This window comes from Homo sapiens, chromosome 11, assembly GCF_000001405.40.
Source record: "Homo sapiens chromosome 11, GRCh38.p14 Primary Assembly".
In the NCBI taxonomy this organism is placed as follows: Eukaryota; Metazoa; Chordata; class Mammalia; order Primates; family Hominidae; genus Homo; species Homo sapiens.
The window spans coordinates 122837801-122855883 of record NC_000011.10 but is presented as its reverse complement, the minus strand read 5'-3'; the positions used below and the strand labels follow the sequence as shown (position 1 = coordinate 122855883).

General features: G+C 41.4%; 1 protein-coding gene across 2 annotated transcripts in view, besides 4 other annotated features; it reads right to left on the bottom strand.

Annotated features, from left to right (window-relative positions):
* CRTAM (cytotoxic and regulatory T cell molecule) overlaps positions 1-17384 on the bottom strand; it is a 34144-nt gene extending 16760 nt beyond the window's left edge. Inside the window, exons 1-5 of one of the 2 annotated variants that reach the window (NM_019604.4) lie at positions 17292-17384; positions 5670-5816; positions 4039-4191; positions 1798-1941; positions 28-189 (exon numbers count right to left, since the gene is read on the bottom strand). In NM_019604.4, the coding sequence (NP_062550.2) occupies positions 28-189; positions 1798-1941; positions 4039-4191; positions 5670-5816; positions 17292-17337 (652 nt within the window). In that variant the 5' untranslated portion in view covers positions 17338-17384. The remainder of the gene's footprint in view (positions 1-27; positions 190-1797; positions 1942-4038; positions 4192-5669; positions 5817-17291) is intronic. The other variant, XM_011542900.3, reaches the window with a different exon arrangement.
* Positions 3283-3342: an enhancer, noted in NCBI's record as "active region_5673". NCBI's record gives its function as "activates an Ori minimal core promoter by ATAC-STARR-seq in GM12878 lymphoblastoid cells {active_cell/tissue: GM12878}" and the evidence as "EXISTENCE:reporter gene assay evidence [ECO:0000049][PMID:35858748]".
* Positions 5711-5810: an enhancer, noted in NCBI's record as "active region_5672". NCBI's record gives its function as "activates an Ori minimal core promoter by ATAC-STARR-seq in GM12878 lymphoblastoid cells {active_cell/tissue: GM12878}" and the evidence as "EXISTENCE:reporter gene assay evidence [ECO:0000049][PMID:35858748]".
* Positions 12275-12324: an enhancer, noted in NCBI's record as "active region_5671". NCBI's record gives its function as "activates an Ori minimal core promoter by ATAC-STARR-seq in GM12878 lymphoblastoid cells {active_cell/tissue: GM12878}" and the evidence as "EXISTENCE:reporter gene assay evidence [ECO:0000049][PMID:35858748]".
* Positions 12535-12584: an enhancer, noted in NCBI's record as "active region_5670". NCBI's record gives its function as "activates an Ori minimal core promoter by ATAC-STARR-seq in GM12878 lymphoblastoid cells {active_cell/tissue: GM12878}" and the evidence as "EXISTENCE:reporter gene assay evidence [ECO:0000049][PMID:35858748]".
* Positions 17385-18083: the final 699 nt, after the last annotated feature.

Here is an 18083-nt window from a genome sequence, read left to right as displayed (position 1 = left end):
TTCAAGAGAATCATTAGTTCTTCTTACCCAAATCTTCAAACCGGAAGGGTGCTACTAGTTTTCTCCCTTGCAGGCCTCTGTGTCGGATAATGCAGTCCACCGTTGAATTTTTGCCATAAGTGTGGATTATGAGAGTGCTGGTAGTATTACATTTCTTCCCATCAGTTTCAAATTCATGGAGCGTTCCACCTATGTAGCAATTTGAAGAGGTTATGGCTATTTAATGCTACTGGATGAGGTTGGTTCTATTAGAGGCCAATGGCCTTGACTTCATGGCAAACATTAGATTTCTAACCTCATTCTAACCTCAGCCAGTTCCCTTGTATAGGCTTGGTTCTGGTCACAAAGGCAAACAGATGAATGAGAGTAGATGATGGTTTTCTACAAACTTTTCACTACTGGAAAAAAAAATTCAAAGCTTAAGAAGGACAGCTTGATGTTGTTATGAAACACAAAGATCCAAGACCTTATTCTGGTTATATGAATAAGGCGAATTAAAGGGAAGTCTTATAATGAAGTAGAATTGGCACTGCCCTGGGAATCAGATCTGGGTTTAGGTCTTTTCTCTCTAGAACTCCATTTGGCCCTCAGTGTTCTCAACTGTAAAGGGTCCTTTGCAACTCTAAGAATGTTGATTACAGGCCGGGCGCAGTGGCTCACGCCTGTAATCCCAGCACTCTGGGAGGCCGAGGCAGTTGGAACACCTGAGGTCAGGGGTTCGAGACCAGCCTGGCCAACATGGTGAAACCCTGTCTCTACTAAAAATACAAAAATTAGCTGGGTGTTGTGGCATGCACCTGTAATCCCAGCTACTCCAGAAGCTGAGGTAGAAGAATCGTTTCAACCCAGGAGGCAGAGGTTGCAGTGAGTCAAGATCGTGCCACTGCACTGGGAGACAGAGTGAGACTCCATCTCAAAAAAAAAAGATGGTTGATTACATAGATATCAAAGGTAATGTCTGTTGAAATGTAAGCAAACTATAAACAGTACCCAGACACCATAATTAATTAGTTATTCTGTTTCAAAGGCTCAACCTTTAGGTGCTTTGTTACAAGAATATTTTTAATCTGTTCTTGTGGGTATGACACAATATAGTACTATACAATATAGGGAAGATCATATCTGTTCCAATTATATGTATTATGTTAAATATATTTTCGATTTTATATCTGGGAAAAAGTTTATGCTCACAGATATTATACTTCTTCTTTTTTTTTTTTTTGATAGAATTTTGCTCCTGTTGCCCAGGCTGGAGTGCAATGGTGTGATTTTTGGCTCACACCACAACCTCCACCTCCTGGGTTCAAGCAATTCTCCTGCCTCAGCCTCCTGAGTACAGGCATGCACCACCAAACCCAGCTAATTTTATTTTTAGTAGGGACGAGGTTTCTCCATGTTGGTCAGGCTGGTCTCGAACTCCTGACCTCAGGTGATCCACCCACCTTGGCCTCCCAAAGTGCTGGGAGTACAGGCATGAGCCATTGTGCCTCGCCTGAGATATTATACTTCTGTATTATACTTATTTTAGACAATTTTGTGAAATTTTAAGAAGTCATTATAGTTCACTTTAGATTTTTACCTGTTTTAAACAAAAACATTTTCAATATCTATGATTAGCCTTTCAAGATTAAGGCATAAAATTGATTGGTTGTAAGAATAACTTGTCTGGAAAAGAGCTGATGAAATATTAAATGATGTCTTCTGGCATTGTCTGCCACTAGAGGGTGCCAAAACATTTAAAAATCCCCTGGAAATTTGAGTAGGAAGGAAGACAAAGAGAACCATTTCTCCCCTTACCGGACACTTCCATGCTATTCCCAAGTAGCCAGGTTATCTGCGGAGGGGGCTTGCTTCTCATGGTGGAGCACATGAGTACAACATGTTCTTCTCCATTTTGCTTTCTGATAACTGAAGCTTCCAGGATTGGCTTGAAAGGAGTTGCTAGAACAAAATGGATTTTTCTGTGTTAATTAGATATGAGTCTGCATATCTCAACAAAGCACAGAGGCTAATAATCTGTAGGTGATTGTTATAGGGTATACTCTAATTAATGGGCTTTCTTTTTTTTTTTAGACTTAGTCTCCGTCGCCCAGGCTGGAGTGCAGTGGCACGATTTCGCCTCACTGAAACCGCCACCTCCCAGGTTCACGCAATTCTCCTGCCTCAGCCTCCTGAGTAGCTGGGATTACAGGCACCCGCCATCACACCCAGCTAATTTTTGTATTTTTAGTGCAGATGAGATTTCTCTGTGGCCAAGCTGGTCTCGAACTCCAGACCTCAATTGATCCGCCCGCCTCCACCTCCCAAAGTGCTGGGATTACAAGTGTGAGCCACTGCGCCCGGCCCATATTTTTTAACTTAATCTCTTCCAGAATACAGTCATGTTAAAGGGCTTTCATGTGCTTGCAAAGCTACTTTGGCTGAAGCCAGAATGTGTATTACTCAGTGTGTTGTTAGTCTCTGAAAATTCCCGAACAAGCAATGTAGCAACAATTCTTAAAATGTGGTATATGAGGCCGGGCGAGGTGGCTCACGCCTGTAATCCCAGCACTTTGGGAGACCAAGGCAGGCAAATCACGAGATCAGGAGATCGAGACCATCCTGGCCAACCAACATGGTGAAACCCCATCTCTACTAAAAATACAAAAATTAGCTGGGCATAGTGGTGCACGCCTGTAGTCCCAGCTACTCGGGAGGCTGAGGCAGGAGAATCGCTTGAACCTGGGATGGGGAGGTTGTGTGCAGTAAGCCGAGTTTGCGCCACTGCACTCCAGCCCGGGCAACAGAGCAAGACCCCATCAAAAAAAAAAAAAGGTGCATTTATCTTATAAAGGGCATGTTCGTCCTTTTTCTTTATACTTCTGTCTTGGAAATACTTTTTAGTTAGGCTTGCTTCTTCCTGTTTCCCATTCTACTTCCACTTCAGTCCAGAACTGAGCTCTTCCCCATTTACTTAACTCACCCATCTGCCATCAAGACCTTATAAAGGCACTTCTTAGCTCCAAATATACATTAGATGTGTTACTTGTTGGCAATACGAAGATGAAAAAGGTATGATTCAAGGAGCTAATAGTCTGGTGTGGCTTCAGCCCCTAAACTGTTAATGAAAAGATTATGTGTTGAGAGCAATGACAGAGTATACATGGGGTGTTATGAGAGCCCAGAAGGGCACACAAGCAGCTGAGCCAGGATGTGTGCTCCCTTACAAAAAGACAACGCTGAGCTGAGTCACAATGGTTCTCAAACCCCTCCCCGAGAGCCACTCCTTCTCAGCTACTTTCCCATCATGCCTTTACCGTATGGCAGGCACCACACTGCAGTAATTCAACAGGAGAAGTCTAAGACATTCATTTGTGTGATATGTGAGATGATGTTACTTAGAGATCAATAAAAAGCAATGTTTTTAATCGATCTGTTCTGCCACAAAAAACAAAACAAGTAAGGATAGACATACTGGACACAGTTGACCATCTGTAGAACTGAGTAAGTCCCAGGTAATTAGGAGGCTGTCACTTCCTATCCGCACCTCCCAATCCCGCCCTCCTACAGAAAAGAGGAATTGTTTGGCAGAGAGGATTTGAGCAGATCAAGCAGTGCAGCTACATCTGAATTCATTCTATCTTAGGATTTGCTGTCATGAGGTTCCACTTCATTTGCATACATGTTTTTCTTCCTGAGCTGGTGCGCAAACTCCTTATGGGCAGAGATTGTGCCTAATTCATCTCTGATTCCCGAGAACCTCACATGGTGCCTGGCGCATAGTCGCAGCTCATCAAATATCAATTTTTCTTTTCTTTTAGTTCCCTGGAGAGAAAATTTAGTTGCTGTCAAAGACAAATTTCACAAGTTCACAGTTCAATCTTGGTCTTGCTTCTCAAAATGCTCTCTTCTGTTTCCTTTCAATAAAAGATGGCAGAGGTGTCCCAGGCAATTCCTTGCTCTAGGCAACATTTTTAAACTAAAAGGTTCAGTTTAAAAACGACATATCGTGTTCCTATCCATATTGCTCCCCTACTGGGTTCACTTGCAGGTACCTACCCAGCACAATCACTTTCACTTCCTTTGTGCTTACAGAGTCGCTGTAATGTAAGCACTTGTACACGCCTTCATCTTGCAGGGTTACGTTAGGCACAGTGATGGAGAGCTGATTGGCCGAGTGATGAAGAAGCTGGTATTTGGAATTTTTTAAAGCTGTACAAGAGGGAAATAGAGCTGTTATGAGGAAAGATATCCGATGAATCGTTGGCCTCTACCCAGTAGATGCCAGAAGCACTGCCCCGCTTTCTACATTTGGCACAATCAAAACTATCTCCAGACATTGTCCTATCTCCACGGGAAGGTAAGATCATTCCGGGTGGGGAACCACTGAGCTAGATCAAGCCATTCTGCTGCAGAAATCCGAGAGAGTCCCTCTTCTCCCAGTGTACCAAAACCAGAAACAAAACAACAAAAAGCATTATGTAACAGAATTATCTCTATTTAAAATTTTTTTCTCTCAGAACTTTTAACAATTAGTATTTACTTCTAGTTGATTTAGCTTGAAATAATATATTTCTTTATGTTAACATATCAGTATCTAATAATGCTTTCAAAGCATAACTTTTTTTTTTTTTTTTTAGAGACAGAGTCTTGCTCTGTTGCCCAGGCTGGAGTGCAGTGGCACTATCTCAGCTCACTGCAACTGTCATCTCCCAGATTCAAGTGATTCTCCTGCCTCAGCCTCCCCCAATAGCTGGGATTACAGGAGTGCTCCACCACGCCCAGCTAATTTTTTTGTATTTTTAGTAGACACAGGGTTTCATAATATTGGCCAGGCTGGTCTTGAACTCCTGACTTCAAAATGATCGGCCAGCCTCAGTCTCCCAAAGTGCTGGGATTACAGGCATGAGCCACCACGCCCAGCCAGCATGATATGCTTTAAGAGGCTCTGCTTTATAAATAAGACTGAAATGTGTTTTAGACTTTTCCAAGTATTTGGCAGTTAGCAATATTAAATGGAGACATAAAATGATCTAGGGTTTAGTAAAACCCTGCCTAACGTCAAAGAGATGAACCCAAGAGATTCTTAAGAGTCTTTTTCCATCTCAGACATCTTGTACTTTCTTCATGTGTGTTTGTGAAAAGAGAAATGACTGTCCTCATTTCCAAATTAATACATCCTGTCTATTTCTATTGCTTAAAAATCTTGATTTTATGTTAAGACCAACAGGAGAAGAAGAGCTATCTGGAAAGGAGCTTTGTAATGTGCCTTTGGATTGCTCAGATGGAAAACGAAGCAGCTGGCTTCTTATCTGGGGTGGTGGTGGTTGCATGAGGATCGGGCTCCCAGTCAGTTGGTTGCCTGTCTGTCATTGTGCTGTGGTTGTGTGATAGTTACTGAGAGTGAAAAAGTGGTGTGAGTGTGGGGTGGGGACATGGAAATGTGCTTTGTAATCTGAACCCCCTTTAACAACCATTCTGGTGGGGTTTCCATTTCACAGTTCCTGCCCCCAGCAAGCCACTGCGTGTAAAATAACAGGATTTGGAGGCGTGATTCATGTGTAACAGTAGGTGGGCTGAGCCCACCCCTTGGGTGACTCATGCAGGCTTTCTGTCCCACCAAACTGTCCGGCTGGAAAAACCCTCAGGTTAAGGTCTGGTGGCATTTTTTCTTTCTTTCTTTCACTTACCAGGATACTCATTTAAAAAAATGGTGAACCCTGAGGGGGTCAGCCACTGGAGGGAGGAGTTCTTCCTCAGAGAAGTGACACACTTTAGAGTGAGCGTCTGGCCTTCCTCCACGGTGATGGTTTCTGTGTGGTTAGTCAGAGAGGCCTCTGTGGAGGAAGAGAAATGGGGATGATCAGGCCGGGGGTCCACAGTGTCTCAGGGATTTTGTCTCGTTCATTCATTCAATCATGTATTATCTATTTCTTCTAGAAACCAAAAAATAAGCAAATACAAACAAAATGGGAGGGGAGAGGCAAGAACTGAGAGTAGGAGCAGTAATGATATCTCTTGAAGAAGGGGACCCTGGAATCAGGTCTGAAGGAAGGGGTAGGATTTTGACAGAAGACAGGGAAGGTCAAACTACAGTTCAACAGGTTTTGGGCGATTGCTCTGCCATATGCCAGGAACTGTACCAGGCCATTTACCTGTATTGAATTTAATTTTTTTTTTTTGAGACAAAGTCTCACTCTGGTTGCCCAGGCTGAAGTCCAGTGGCACAATCTCAGCTCACTACATCCTCCGCCTCCTGGGTTCAAGCGATTCTCATGCCTCAGCCTCCCAAATAGCTGGGATTACAGACACGTACCACCAAGCCTGGCTAGTTTTTGTGTTTTTAGTAGAGACGTGGTTTTACTATGTTGGCCAGGCTGGTCTCGAACTCCTGACCTCAAGTCATCTGCCCACCTCGGCCTCCCAAAATGCTGGGATTACAGGTGTGAGCCACAGCACCCAACCCGAATTTAATTTTCAAACTAACCCTAGAAAGGAAGAATTGTGCTCACTTTACAGACGAGGGAATAGAGGCTCAAGGTAACAGAGGTCATTGAGCTGGGATCTGTACCCAGGGCTGTGGATGGCAAAGGCCGTGTTTATGTAACTACATCAGCCTATCTAAGCCACAAGGCCCCAGAAAATGCAACCTTTCTGGCCTCAGCTTATAAAAGAGCATCTAGTACCTTCAAGTTGTGTGTCTAGAATTCTAAGAAAGAATGTTATAATCGTGGTGCTCTGGTGAACTGCGGAGTTACCCTTCAGGGCAAGTGGCTGAGCCCCACCTGTCCGAGAGTTTCTACACCAGAGGGAGGATGTTCTAAGATTTCATTCAATTCAGTATTCCACAGCCGAGCTTTCTCCAGACAAACACAAGTCTAATTTCTCCGAATCACAACCCCCAGAGAATGATGAACAATTTGTTCTAAGTAGCTGCACATTTATCTCCCCAAAAAAAGAAATTGATGAAAAATAAACTGGCATTCCTGATGATTTGGCATGCTTATTGCCATTCATTATTCCTTCATATTATAAATTAAATTATTTGTCCTGAGGAAAAGGCAATTCTTATCAATGAAGGTATAAACCACTTTTATAAACAGAAGAATACCATGGGGTTATAAATTATGAATAGCAAATGTAACAAGTTTTACGGCATCATCTTAAACCTTAACAACAACAACAAAAAAGAAACCAGGAGAATATATTTTCTTGTGATAAATTTCAAGTATTAGGAAAAGTGCTTTGGAGAGCTCTGGGAATTAATTGGTGTCTACTTTTTTGTTTGTTCCATTCCTAGGTCATTAATTTGAATCTAGCCTCTAGCAGAAATAACCCAGAATTATTGTATTGGATTCATATAAGCTTTCACGGGAAACTGTTTGCTGGAGTTCTAATGGAAAAACACCCATATCATCCACCAATACCATAATGAACAACAAGGAGGTAATAAAAAGAGATCTGTGCTTTCCAAAAAAAGCACTGGGGCATAAGGCCAGAATTCTGCTTAGGTTTGGCCATTTGGAAATATTCTCCTCTGTGACATCAATCCATAATTGAGTAATAAGGATGATATTAATAGAGAATGACAATAGAATTTCTTCTAAGGGATTTTTGCTGATAATAAAGATTTAAGAAGCCATTGAGTCCCTATTTTGTGTTCTCATGACATCCATATTAAGAAGGTAGGAAAGCCAGTGGTCCTCCACCTTGGCAGTATGTTAGACTCACTCAGGGAGTTTGTGTCCTGGCCTCATTCACTACTAATTAACTCGGAATTCGTGGTGGGGCCCACGCATCAGTTCTTCTGACCCCAGGCCTGAGTGTTCAGAGCATCCTATTCCCAAAGCCCACAGTTGCAGTGTAATGAATAAAATTCCAGAGCCCTGTGGCTGCTCCTCAGATACTTGGGACCAACTCTCTGCTGCTGCAGAAACCACATGGAACAGGAAGATGAGTATCAATCTCACTTTCAAAGACTTCCAGAAGACATTCTACCATACCACTGCGTCCAAGCCCTTATGCCCTTAGTCAGACTGGGTCTTCTGAAGATAAAAGTCTTTTCCATAGCATAAGGTCAAATAATTAAAGAAGCTATGCCTCTAGTTTCATTATCATTTGTTCACCACTTGCCAACAGCCACATGTGAATATACTGTAGTTTGTCCATGTTCCTCCAAAAATATGCCCCTTTGCATGGGACAGGGGACTTATGTGTCATCAGAGCTGGCAAGAGCATAGGGGGACATTCACTTGCATCACCACCCACCCTCTGGACTTCCTTGTTCTATTAAGCCCAGGGTTTCACTCTTGAGCTGTAACATCTCACTAGGCTCCTGTTGAGGCAGTCACCCAAAACACCCAGATCTTCTTCAGAGAATTTGTGTCACATCACGTCTCCCTATCCTGTGTTCATGATGCATTTCATTTTGGAACCAAAGTTCAGATTTCATATTCTCCCTACATCAGTCTTATCTGGTAAGTTTGGAGTGAGGGTTCAAGCTTTCTGAGAACATTCTGGCTCTTGATTGTCTTATCTGTCAATAGACCCCTAGGCTTTGTACCATCTGAACCTGTTGCACCGAGGAGCTGTTTATAATCATCTCTGTGTCCCTAACCTGGGTGGCATATGATGCAATGGTAACACACACGCACACGAGCCAAATTGACTGGGTTGGAATCCTGGCTCCTCCACTACTAACAGCACGAACTTAGGCAATTTAAGTGTGTGAATTTCCTTACCATAAAAACAGGAAAAACAATAGTATTCATCTCATAGAGTCATTGAGGCAATTAAAAAATATATGTAAAGAACCTAGTGTAGTACTTAGTCCATAGTAAGCATGACATTCTTCTTTTACTTGGTATATAGTGCTTAATAATTATTTGAAAAGCTGAACTGACTCTTGCTTTACAAAGAAAAGTGGAAAGAGTCAGTGTCAAAAGACAAAGCCTTGTAGCTCTGCAGCTCTTCACTAGGGATCTCCTTCCCCAGTGTTACAGGACTATTTATTATTAAACATTCTAAGGTCCTAGTAGACATTAAGGAAGAAGCAGTTAGGTCCTAGTAGACATTAAGGAAGAAGCAGTTCCAGTCGCAGTAAATCTAAATTGGAACAGTTCAGAAGGATTAAAGGTTTTGAGGAGCAAATGGTGATAATGAGTTCTTTTCATTTTGGACCTTAGATTCCAACCAAAGGTGTAGTTAATCATACCACTCAGTTCATGGTACACAATCATTATTTGATGAAAAGACAGAGAGAGACAGACAGACAGACAGACAGAGGTGTTAGAACTCTGTGAAATAATAAAATTTATGGCTATGTGCAGTGGCTCACTCCTGTATTCCAGTACTTTGGGAGGCCGAAGTGAGCAGATCACCTGAGGTCAGGAGTTCGAGACCAGCCTGACCAACATGGTCTCGAACAAAATTAGCCTGGCGTGGTGGTGGGCACCTGTAATCCCAGCTACTCAGGAGGCTGGGGCAGGAGAATCATTGAACCCGGGAGGAGGAGGTTGCAGTGAGCTGAGTTCATGCTGTTGCACTCCAGCCTGGGCAATAGAGCAAGACTCCATCTCAAAAATAAATTAAATTAAATAATAATATGTTTTCCCACTTCTCTCTTCTCTTCATCACATAAATTGTTTGCTATTGAAATGCTAACTTATTTGCATATGTGTTTCTCAATGTCATCCCCAAGTCACATCTACTTGCTTTTAGATCCTGCATACTTGGCGTGCCCTACATTGCTGTGAATGGAGTGGGTACCCGGTATCTCCACTTGGACACTAGTTTCCATCTCATTTATTTACACAAGGAATTCCCTTCTGTGTTGCTCCATCTCTCAAAAGATGATTTGGTACAAAAATAATTCTACCATCATTGTTTTTTTTCTCTTTAGCTGTATCATTCTCTGGCTGGATGTGGTGGCTCACACCTGTAATCCTAGCACCTTGGGAGGCCAAGGTGGGAGGATCACTTGAGGCCAGGAGTTTGAGACCAGCCTGGGAAACATAATAAGACTTTGTCTTTACAAAAAATTAAGAAAAAAAACTGTCATTCTCATCAGCACACAAATATATACTATTCATCCCATATTAAAATGCATAAACAAAATGATGTCAGATTTCCTTCCAGCTACTATCCTATACTACCCTATTCTACCCTATGTCCCTCCTTTTTATTTATTTATTTTTTTGAGACAGATTCTCATTCTGTCACCCAGGCTGCAGTGCAGTGGCATGATCTCAGCTCACTGCAACCTCCACCTCCCAGTTGCAAGCAATTCTCCTACCTCAGCCTCCCGAGTACCTGAGATTACAGGCACCCACCAGCACATCTGACTAATTTTTGTATTTTTAGTACAGAGACGGAGTTTTACCATGTTGTCCTGGTCTTGAACTCCTGACCTAAAGTGATCCACCCACCTCTGCCTCCCAAAGTGCTGGGATTACAGGCATGAGCCACCGTGCCCTGCCTTCCCTCTCTTTCACTGACACATTTTTCTAAAGAACTATCTATATTTGTTTATCCCACTCTTTGTTTTCTGACCAGGTTTTCAACTCCACTACCTCGTTGAAATCTCTCTTTGCCAAGGTTGCCAAAGACCTTCACATTGCTCAAACCAATGCTCCATTCTCAGACCATATCTTATTCAACCTATGGTGTTCCTTCGCCATATATGATCACTCTCTGCCCCTTAAATCAGTGTCTTTACCTGGTTCCCTAGATGTCAGTCTCTTTTTGACTCCCTTCCTAACTCACTGGCAGCTGCTGCTCCTCAGCTCTATTTCCGGGTTCTTCTCATCAATCTGCCCTTCACACAACGGAGGTCAGATCCTGGATAGACTCTCTATACTCACTCCATAGGTCATCTCATCTGGCCTCATCACCTTTCTGATGATCAGTTAGAAGTCTGAAAGCCTAACAAGTACAACACAAACTCTTGATTCTCTTCCCCCAAATGTGTTATTTTAGATTTCACCAACAGCAAATAGCCTAGTTATTCAGGCCCAAAACCAATAACTCTGTAAAGAAGGTGTTGTTATTCCCATTTCACAGATGAGGGCATCAAAGCTCAGAGGTTAAGCAGCTTTTGAGCCAAGATTTGAATCCAGAACTGTCTAACTTCCATAGCATTGTGATGCTTACTGTTTTACTCACTAGTTCTTGTGTACTGTCTTGATGCCTATAAACAGACTGAAGTTTCTAGAGGACAACGGCTATGTTTTATATTTCTCTAAAATTCATTCCTTACAGAAACTATTACAATGTGAGCTTGAAAAGTACTGGCTTAATGCTAGTATTCACGATGGCACTATAATGTAGGTGATTGACAGATACCTTTGTTCTCCTGTTGTTAATAAAAATACTGAGAAACAGGAAGGAAGCTACTGGAAGAAAGTTACACATGGAATCAATGATAGAATAAAGAGTAGTATTAAGAAACATGCCCTAATTTCATCCTTGAGGACTAGACATTGACAGAAGTTTTGCCAACGTTCTTACCTTTGGTAAAATGATGGTCTAAACAGAAAGCCTGCATTGGGTAAGATGGGAGTGGTGAGATTTATCTGCAGCTTGTTTAGGAATAAATGTCTCCCATTTTAAGGTTGTATGTATCATTTTTCTCTTTCTTAGGATGCATGCTTATGAATTAAATAGTATAATTTAACCCTTACAACATTTTAAAAATTGTGATGAAATATAGTTTGGCTTTTTATTATACACTAAAGTACTGTATGTCTTAAGATTAATGTTTGCACTTGCTGAGAATTCGGTATCAGGCGGCTAACCAGATTGACCACACTGTAGAGGCCTGAGTTTCATATGGAAAGGGCTGTGTTTGAGGCATAGAATATTCGTTGTTTCCTTTACTCTTTGCAACAAGCCTTGCTTTTGGCTTTACGGGTCTGCTTATCTTGCAGTGTTATCATGTAGACCCCATGTTCGATTTAGAAACAGGAAATCACTGTAGAAGGGAAGAATAGCCCCAGTGAGAAGCCACAGACCCACCCAGCTTTGCTTAGACTGTAGTGCTTAAAAATATGTTTCAATGTCTGTAGTTTTGTTAAAGGTGGAAGAGCAGGATGCTGTGCCTAAGTTTTGGTGGCACATTTTCCAAGGACAAGTTCCCCAGGGTCTTCTCATTGCCACTGGAAACCAAATTAGAACTTCTTTTGACTTTTCTTTCACCTAAGTTTGGAGTCAGACTTTCACCTTTGTTGTCAGAGGGATGGGGTGTGAGATATCTTCTTTGCTTACCACTTCCTCCTCTGTAGGCTCTAGAGACATGTACATCCCCATTTACCTTTAAGCTTTCTTATTAGACCCCGAGTGCCATACACCTACTTCCTAGTCCTATCTGAGCTTCAGAGTTCTTATCTGCAAATTAGCCCTGCACGGCTCCCCACATGCTGAACATACAGACCTTGACAATGAATGACTGTGGTGTTTCGCCTGTGAGGTCACCACTTCCTACGGTAGGTGATGTTTACAGAATGGATTATTGACTTCTGGGCTTTGTCATTATCTCCGTGACTGAATTCATCCATCCATGCATGACCATATGTTATGAGATTGCTAGCTGATCCTGGGGCTATAGATTGTGACTGCTTTATATATGGAAATGGAACCTGTGACCTTCACCGTCATCACCATCCCAAATCCCATGAACTAATTGTCCTATCAGTGGATGGCTTTACACCAAAGCACATGTGATCTACTCCCAAACAAAAGGACAAGCAGCAGTAACAGCCATCTACCAAAGTACACATAGACAAAACCAGTGCAGTTCGTAAGATTTTTTGGTCTTTCCCAAGATTTTGGAAGTTCTCATGTGCAATCTTTACCTCTACTATAGACTATCATGTAGACTGAGAAAAGAATAAAATATTCTTTCCTTTTCTTGCCTTAATAGCCTAGTTTTTACATGCAATAAATTTAAAACCAGAGCAGAGCAAGCCTGTCCTGCAAAGACCCCAAACTCTACATGTCCCATTGGAACTCGTTATCTCTACTGTCCCCATGCTCCACCCATGTCTAACACAGATATGCCACCTGCCCCATTCTAGAGTTCCCTTATATAAATTAATGTCATCACCAACCACTGCACACCAGATATTTGAGAGGTGCTCTAAACTCTTCTTTCTCCAAAACATCCTTTAATCAATTTAGTCCTCTTTTGTCACTATTATTGCTGCCTTAGTTAAGGACTCCATCATTTCTTTCCTGGACCACTGTAATAACTTAGTTCTAGTCTCTCTTCTCTCTAATTCATCATCATCATCTGGTTCTAGGATTACATTTTAAAACCATGAATTTGAGGCCGGGCGTGGTGGCTCAACGCCTGTAATCCCAGCACTTTGGGAGGCCGAGGCGGGTGGATCTCCTGAGGTCAGGAGTTCGAGACCAGCCTGGCCGACATAGTGAAACCCCATGTCTACTAAAAATACAAAAAATTAGCCAGGGATGGTGGCAGGCACCTGTAATCCCAGCTACTCTGGAGGCTGAGGCAGGAGAATCACTTGAACCTGGGAGGTGGAGGTTGTGGTGAGTGAGATTGTGCCATTGCACTCCAGCCAGGGCAACAAGAATGAAATTCCATCTCAACAAACAAACAAACAAACAAACAAACATATAACCCATGAATTTGATTATGTCTCTTCCTTCATTCAAGTGTTTGCTATGGCTTCCATTGCCTATAGGAATCAGGCCCAAATTCCAGCCGACTTGACTCCTGTGTTCTCCTCCTTTGCCATGTCGTGATACTCCTTTTCAGATAGTCCTTGTACATGTCCACTTGCTGTTTCCAGAAAGTTCCAGGCTCCAGAAGATAGTTTGTCTTTTTCTATGATATTCTCTTGTCCTGGAATGTCTTTCTCATCTCCTTCAAGACTCAACATTAAGACCCAACTCAAGACTCAACTTATAGGCTCAACTCAAATTACACAACTTTTGTCAAAACTTCCAAAACAGGCCTTAGCTTCCCTTTTCCCCATAATGTCTTTCCCCTAGTTTCCCAAAGTCTTGAGATATACTTCTATTACAGCACTTAGCACATTACTTTATAATTATTTGGTTACAGGTGTTTCTCTGTAGATAGATTACAAACTCCTTATGGAAAAGCTGTTTGCCATCCACTCATTTTAGCATAATGTAAAATTTTAGATATTGGTTGAATTAGTGGATAAAAATGAGTAAATAGGCCGGGCTCGGTGGCTCACACCTGTAATCCCAGCACTTTGGAAGGCTGAGGCAGGCGGATCATGAGATCAGGAGATCGAGACTATCCTGGCTAACATGGTGAAAGCCTGTCTCTACTAAAAATACAAAAAATTAGCCAGGAGTGGTGGCGGGTGCCTGTAGTCCCAGCTACTCGGGAGGCTGAGGCAGGAGAATGGCGTCAACCCGGGAGGTGGAGCTTGCAGTGAGCTGAGATCACACCACTGCACTCCAGCCTGGGCGACGGAGCAAGACTCTGTCTCAAAAAAAAAAAAAATAGAGTAAAAGTATATATTTAGGAATAAATATTATAATAGGATGCTAACTTTGCTCTTTAACTGTTATATCAAATAATAAAGACTAGGGCTAAGTTAAAGCCAGAGACATGCAATGCATTAATTCTCAAATCAGAGCCCTAGTTACATGACTGTCATGAGGCATTAAGCAAAAGTGTGTTTTAATTCAGATCATTACAAAAAAAGATTTTTATTATTTTTAGATTGAATCAATAGAGAAAATTGCAGGTATAAAAATAAATCAGACTTGTCAGAATCGGAATATTTTTAGTACATTTTAAAGAAGCTGTCTCAACATGTCATCTAACATGTGACTTTTTCCTGGGCAAAGAAAGTATGAAAAGAACTACTCAATTTGCAATTTTCCTTTGTTTTCTGCATCCTACCCTCCACAAAACAATGAAAACAGAGGGTTCAAAATTCATTGGATTTGACATTTTCATTGTCTACAGTGTAATTTAATGGGATGAATTTTGAAAAATGCTTCATTTTTATTGTGTTTTTACCAGTCCTAAGACTATTTATTCTGGGAGTGGCCTTGAAAAGAGGGCAGGCTCTGAGATTACGTGACTTTTTTTTTTTCCATAAATTTTTGGCAGCCATAGAAGTAACACTGTAGAAGTAGTCACAGTGATCTTCCCATAATTTAATTTGCTAAAATCAGCTGACAGTTTATAGCTTTGCCAAAACTGATGATTTGCTGCCTTTTTTGCTGACAAGAAAGCAACATGGTCACCTCCTCCTAATTACGTCTGGGATGGGCTTGAGCAAGGTTAGGTCAGGGGTGGCAGCCACTGCTCAAATGCCATTGAGCTTAGATGCCCTCGGGTGGCCCCTTGAACGAGTTTTCAAATAGGACTTTTTAATATTGAATCCTCCAAATTGTGAAAGTCAGTGGTTTTCCAACTTTTGATCCACATTAATACATTTTCTGTCACAACTAGTACACACACACACACACACACGTTAATTAGAAGTTTCATGAAATAAATACTTTTACTATGTGCTTTATAGGCTGGTATTTATGTTGTCATATTCTAGCTTTAAAACTTGGGCAGGTTACATAACTTCTTTTCTCATCTTTAAATTGGGGATATTAGTACCTACCTCAGTACTTCCGCTATGATTAAGTGTAATTAACACAAAGTACTCAGCACTGTGCATGAAACAATATTTTTCCTCTCTATATAAATAATATTTAAGTAATTTAGGTTTACCTTGAAACATAATTTTTGCTATTTATTTAAAAAATGTATTTTTATGAGTTATTTTTTATGAGGCAATAACTCAAAGCCTGAAAAAGTTAAGGTCAGTGAAAGGCTTTAAACTCTGGAAAAATTGAAATCATCCTAATTTTAGCTGTCTAAATGTACTCTTTTTGAATGTATTAGCTATTCTTTAAGCCACTTAATGAAGAAACTAATATTATTCATTACCAAAATTGAATCCTTATTAAGTGCCTCAGGGTACAGGGACCAAAAAAAGAAGGCATTAATTGAAGTATATAAAATAGGGAATTGAAGTACTATGTAAAATAGGAAATCGAGTTTTTTAAAGTAGCGTCCTTCAGATGCCATTCCAGATTAAATGTAGATTTAGAAGGATAGGTGCATTTCATGAAACAGAACTACAGTTTCAATATTTGGTAACAAACACACAAAAAGCAAAATTTTTGAGTGGATTTGTGAGGGATGTCCTTTGCATGAATCTGATACAATTGTAAGCAGAGACTGAGGGACAACAGGAGCCACTTCCTACACCCCTGCCCCCACTTTTGGGTAGAAAATAATTTGACCTGCTCCAAAAAGGTAACTGCTTCTATCCTTAATTTTCATAATGCTACATTAGGATTAAGCACTAAAATCCAAATTTGAAAATTATAGTAAAATGTAAAGTATAACTTACTCTTTAAAAATAAACACGAAGTTTTCATTGGTCTCATTATTACCTCTGAGCTAAATAAGTGTTGCACAGCGCTTTATCATTTTCAAAGTGCTTTCACATTTGAAATTTGATCCTTCTAACAATCCAGGGAGTTTGGTGGATCAAAAGTTTTTATCATTTTCATTTTAAGATGCAGAAACTGAGTTTCAAAGAGATTAAATCGTTTGGCTAAGATTTATACAGCAAGGAAATTTTAAAATTCAACGTGGAGGCCGGGCGCGGTGGCTTACGCCTGTAATCCCAGCACTTTGGGAGGCTGAGGTGGGCAGATCACGAGGTCAGGAGATTGAGACCATCCTGGCTAACACGGTGAAACCCCGTCTCTACTAAAAATATAAAAAAATTAGCCGGGCGTGGTGGTGGCGGGCACCTGTAGTCCCAGCTACTTGGGAGGCTGAGGCAGGAGAAAGGCGTGAACCCGGGAGGCGGAGCTTGCAGTGAGCCGAGGTCGTGCCGCTGCACTCCAGCCTGGGCGACAGAGCGAGACTGTGTCTCATAAATAAATAAATAAATAAAATAAAATAAAATTCAATACGGATGCTCTTTCAACTGGTATGCCCTTAAAAGACAGAGCCTAATAAGCTTGTTTCATCTTGCCGTAACATAGGACCCACAGAGACACACACTATAATGATCCTTTCTATACTCCTTAGCCATTGAACGAGAGATCAAATAAACGCAGTAACATCCCTCAGATGCATGATTTGAGCATGGCTTGGAAAGTATTAGCAGTTACCTGGGTTGTCTTCTACAGCAGCTCCTCTGTAAATGCAGTTGACTGACTGATAGGTAGATGTGGCAAAACATTAAGTCAGCTGAGCAACAACAAAAATAACTCTAAGTCCTTACCTTGCAAGGGGAACCATGCCAGCAAGCTGAGAACTCTCCACCACATACTGTGCTGTGCTGCTGTGGCACCTTTGTCAACTTCCTCTAGATTCTGAGACAAATGGAGCTGAGTAGTTTCTTTTAAAGGGGGAGAGGCAGTAGATCTGTGACCTCATGTGTATCAACTCCTCCATCTGTCTGGAAGCCCCCTCTTAGTTAGCTGCCCCCAGAACACCTCCTGGTGGAACATTTTGGGGACCACATGTATTATCTTGATGGCAGAGAGGTGTGAGTGATGTGTTGGTGACAAAAATTGTTTTACCACAAGTGGGTAGTACTGGTAAATCAACTAGTTGCAAGGTTTTTAGAGGGAGCATGGGTGGGAGAAATACTGTAAAATGTCCCTGTGTAGTGACGTCATCCTTATTTTTACTTTTCTAGTTTATTAGATAAATACAATTAGATAATTTTTGCTCAACCTTTGGGAATATTTTATTTCTATGCTGACATCAATTTATAATTGTTGTCGGGGAGGAATTCATTCATTCATATAGATATACTCATTTTTGAAATCTATATATCTGTCCACCCACCCATCCACCCATCTTTTCATCCACCCACTCACAAATACAAATCTATTCATCCACCTATCCATCCATCCATCCTTCCATCCATCCACCCACACATCCATCCACCCATCCATTTATCCTTCCATCCACCCACTCACTCATGTATTACCTGCCCACTCATTCCCCATCCACCCATCCATCCATCTATTCATCCACACATCCATCCATCTCTCCATCCATCCAG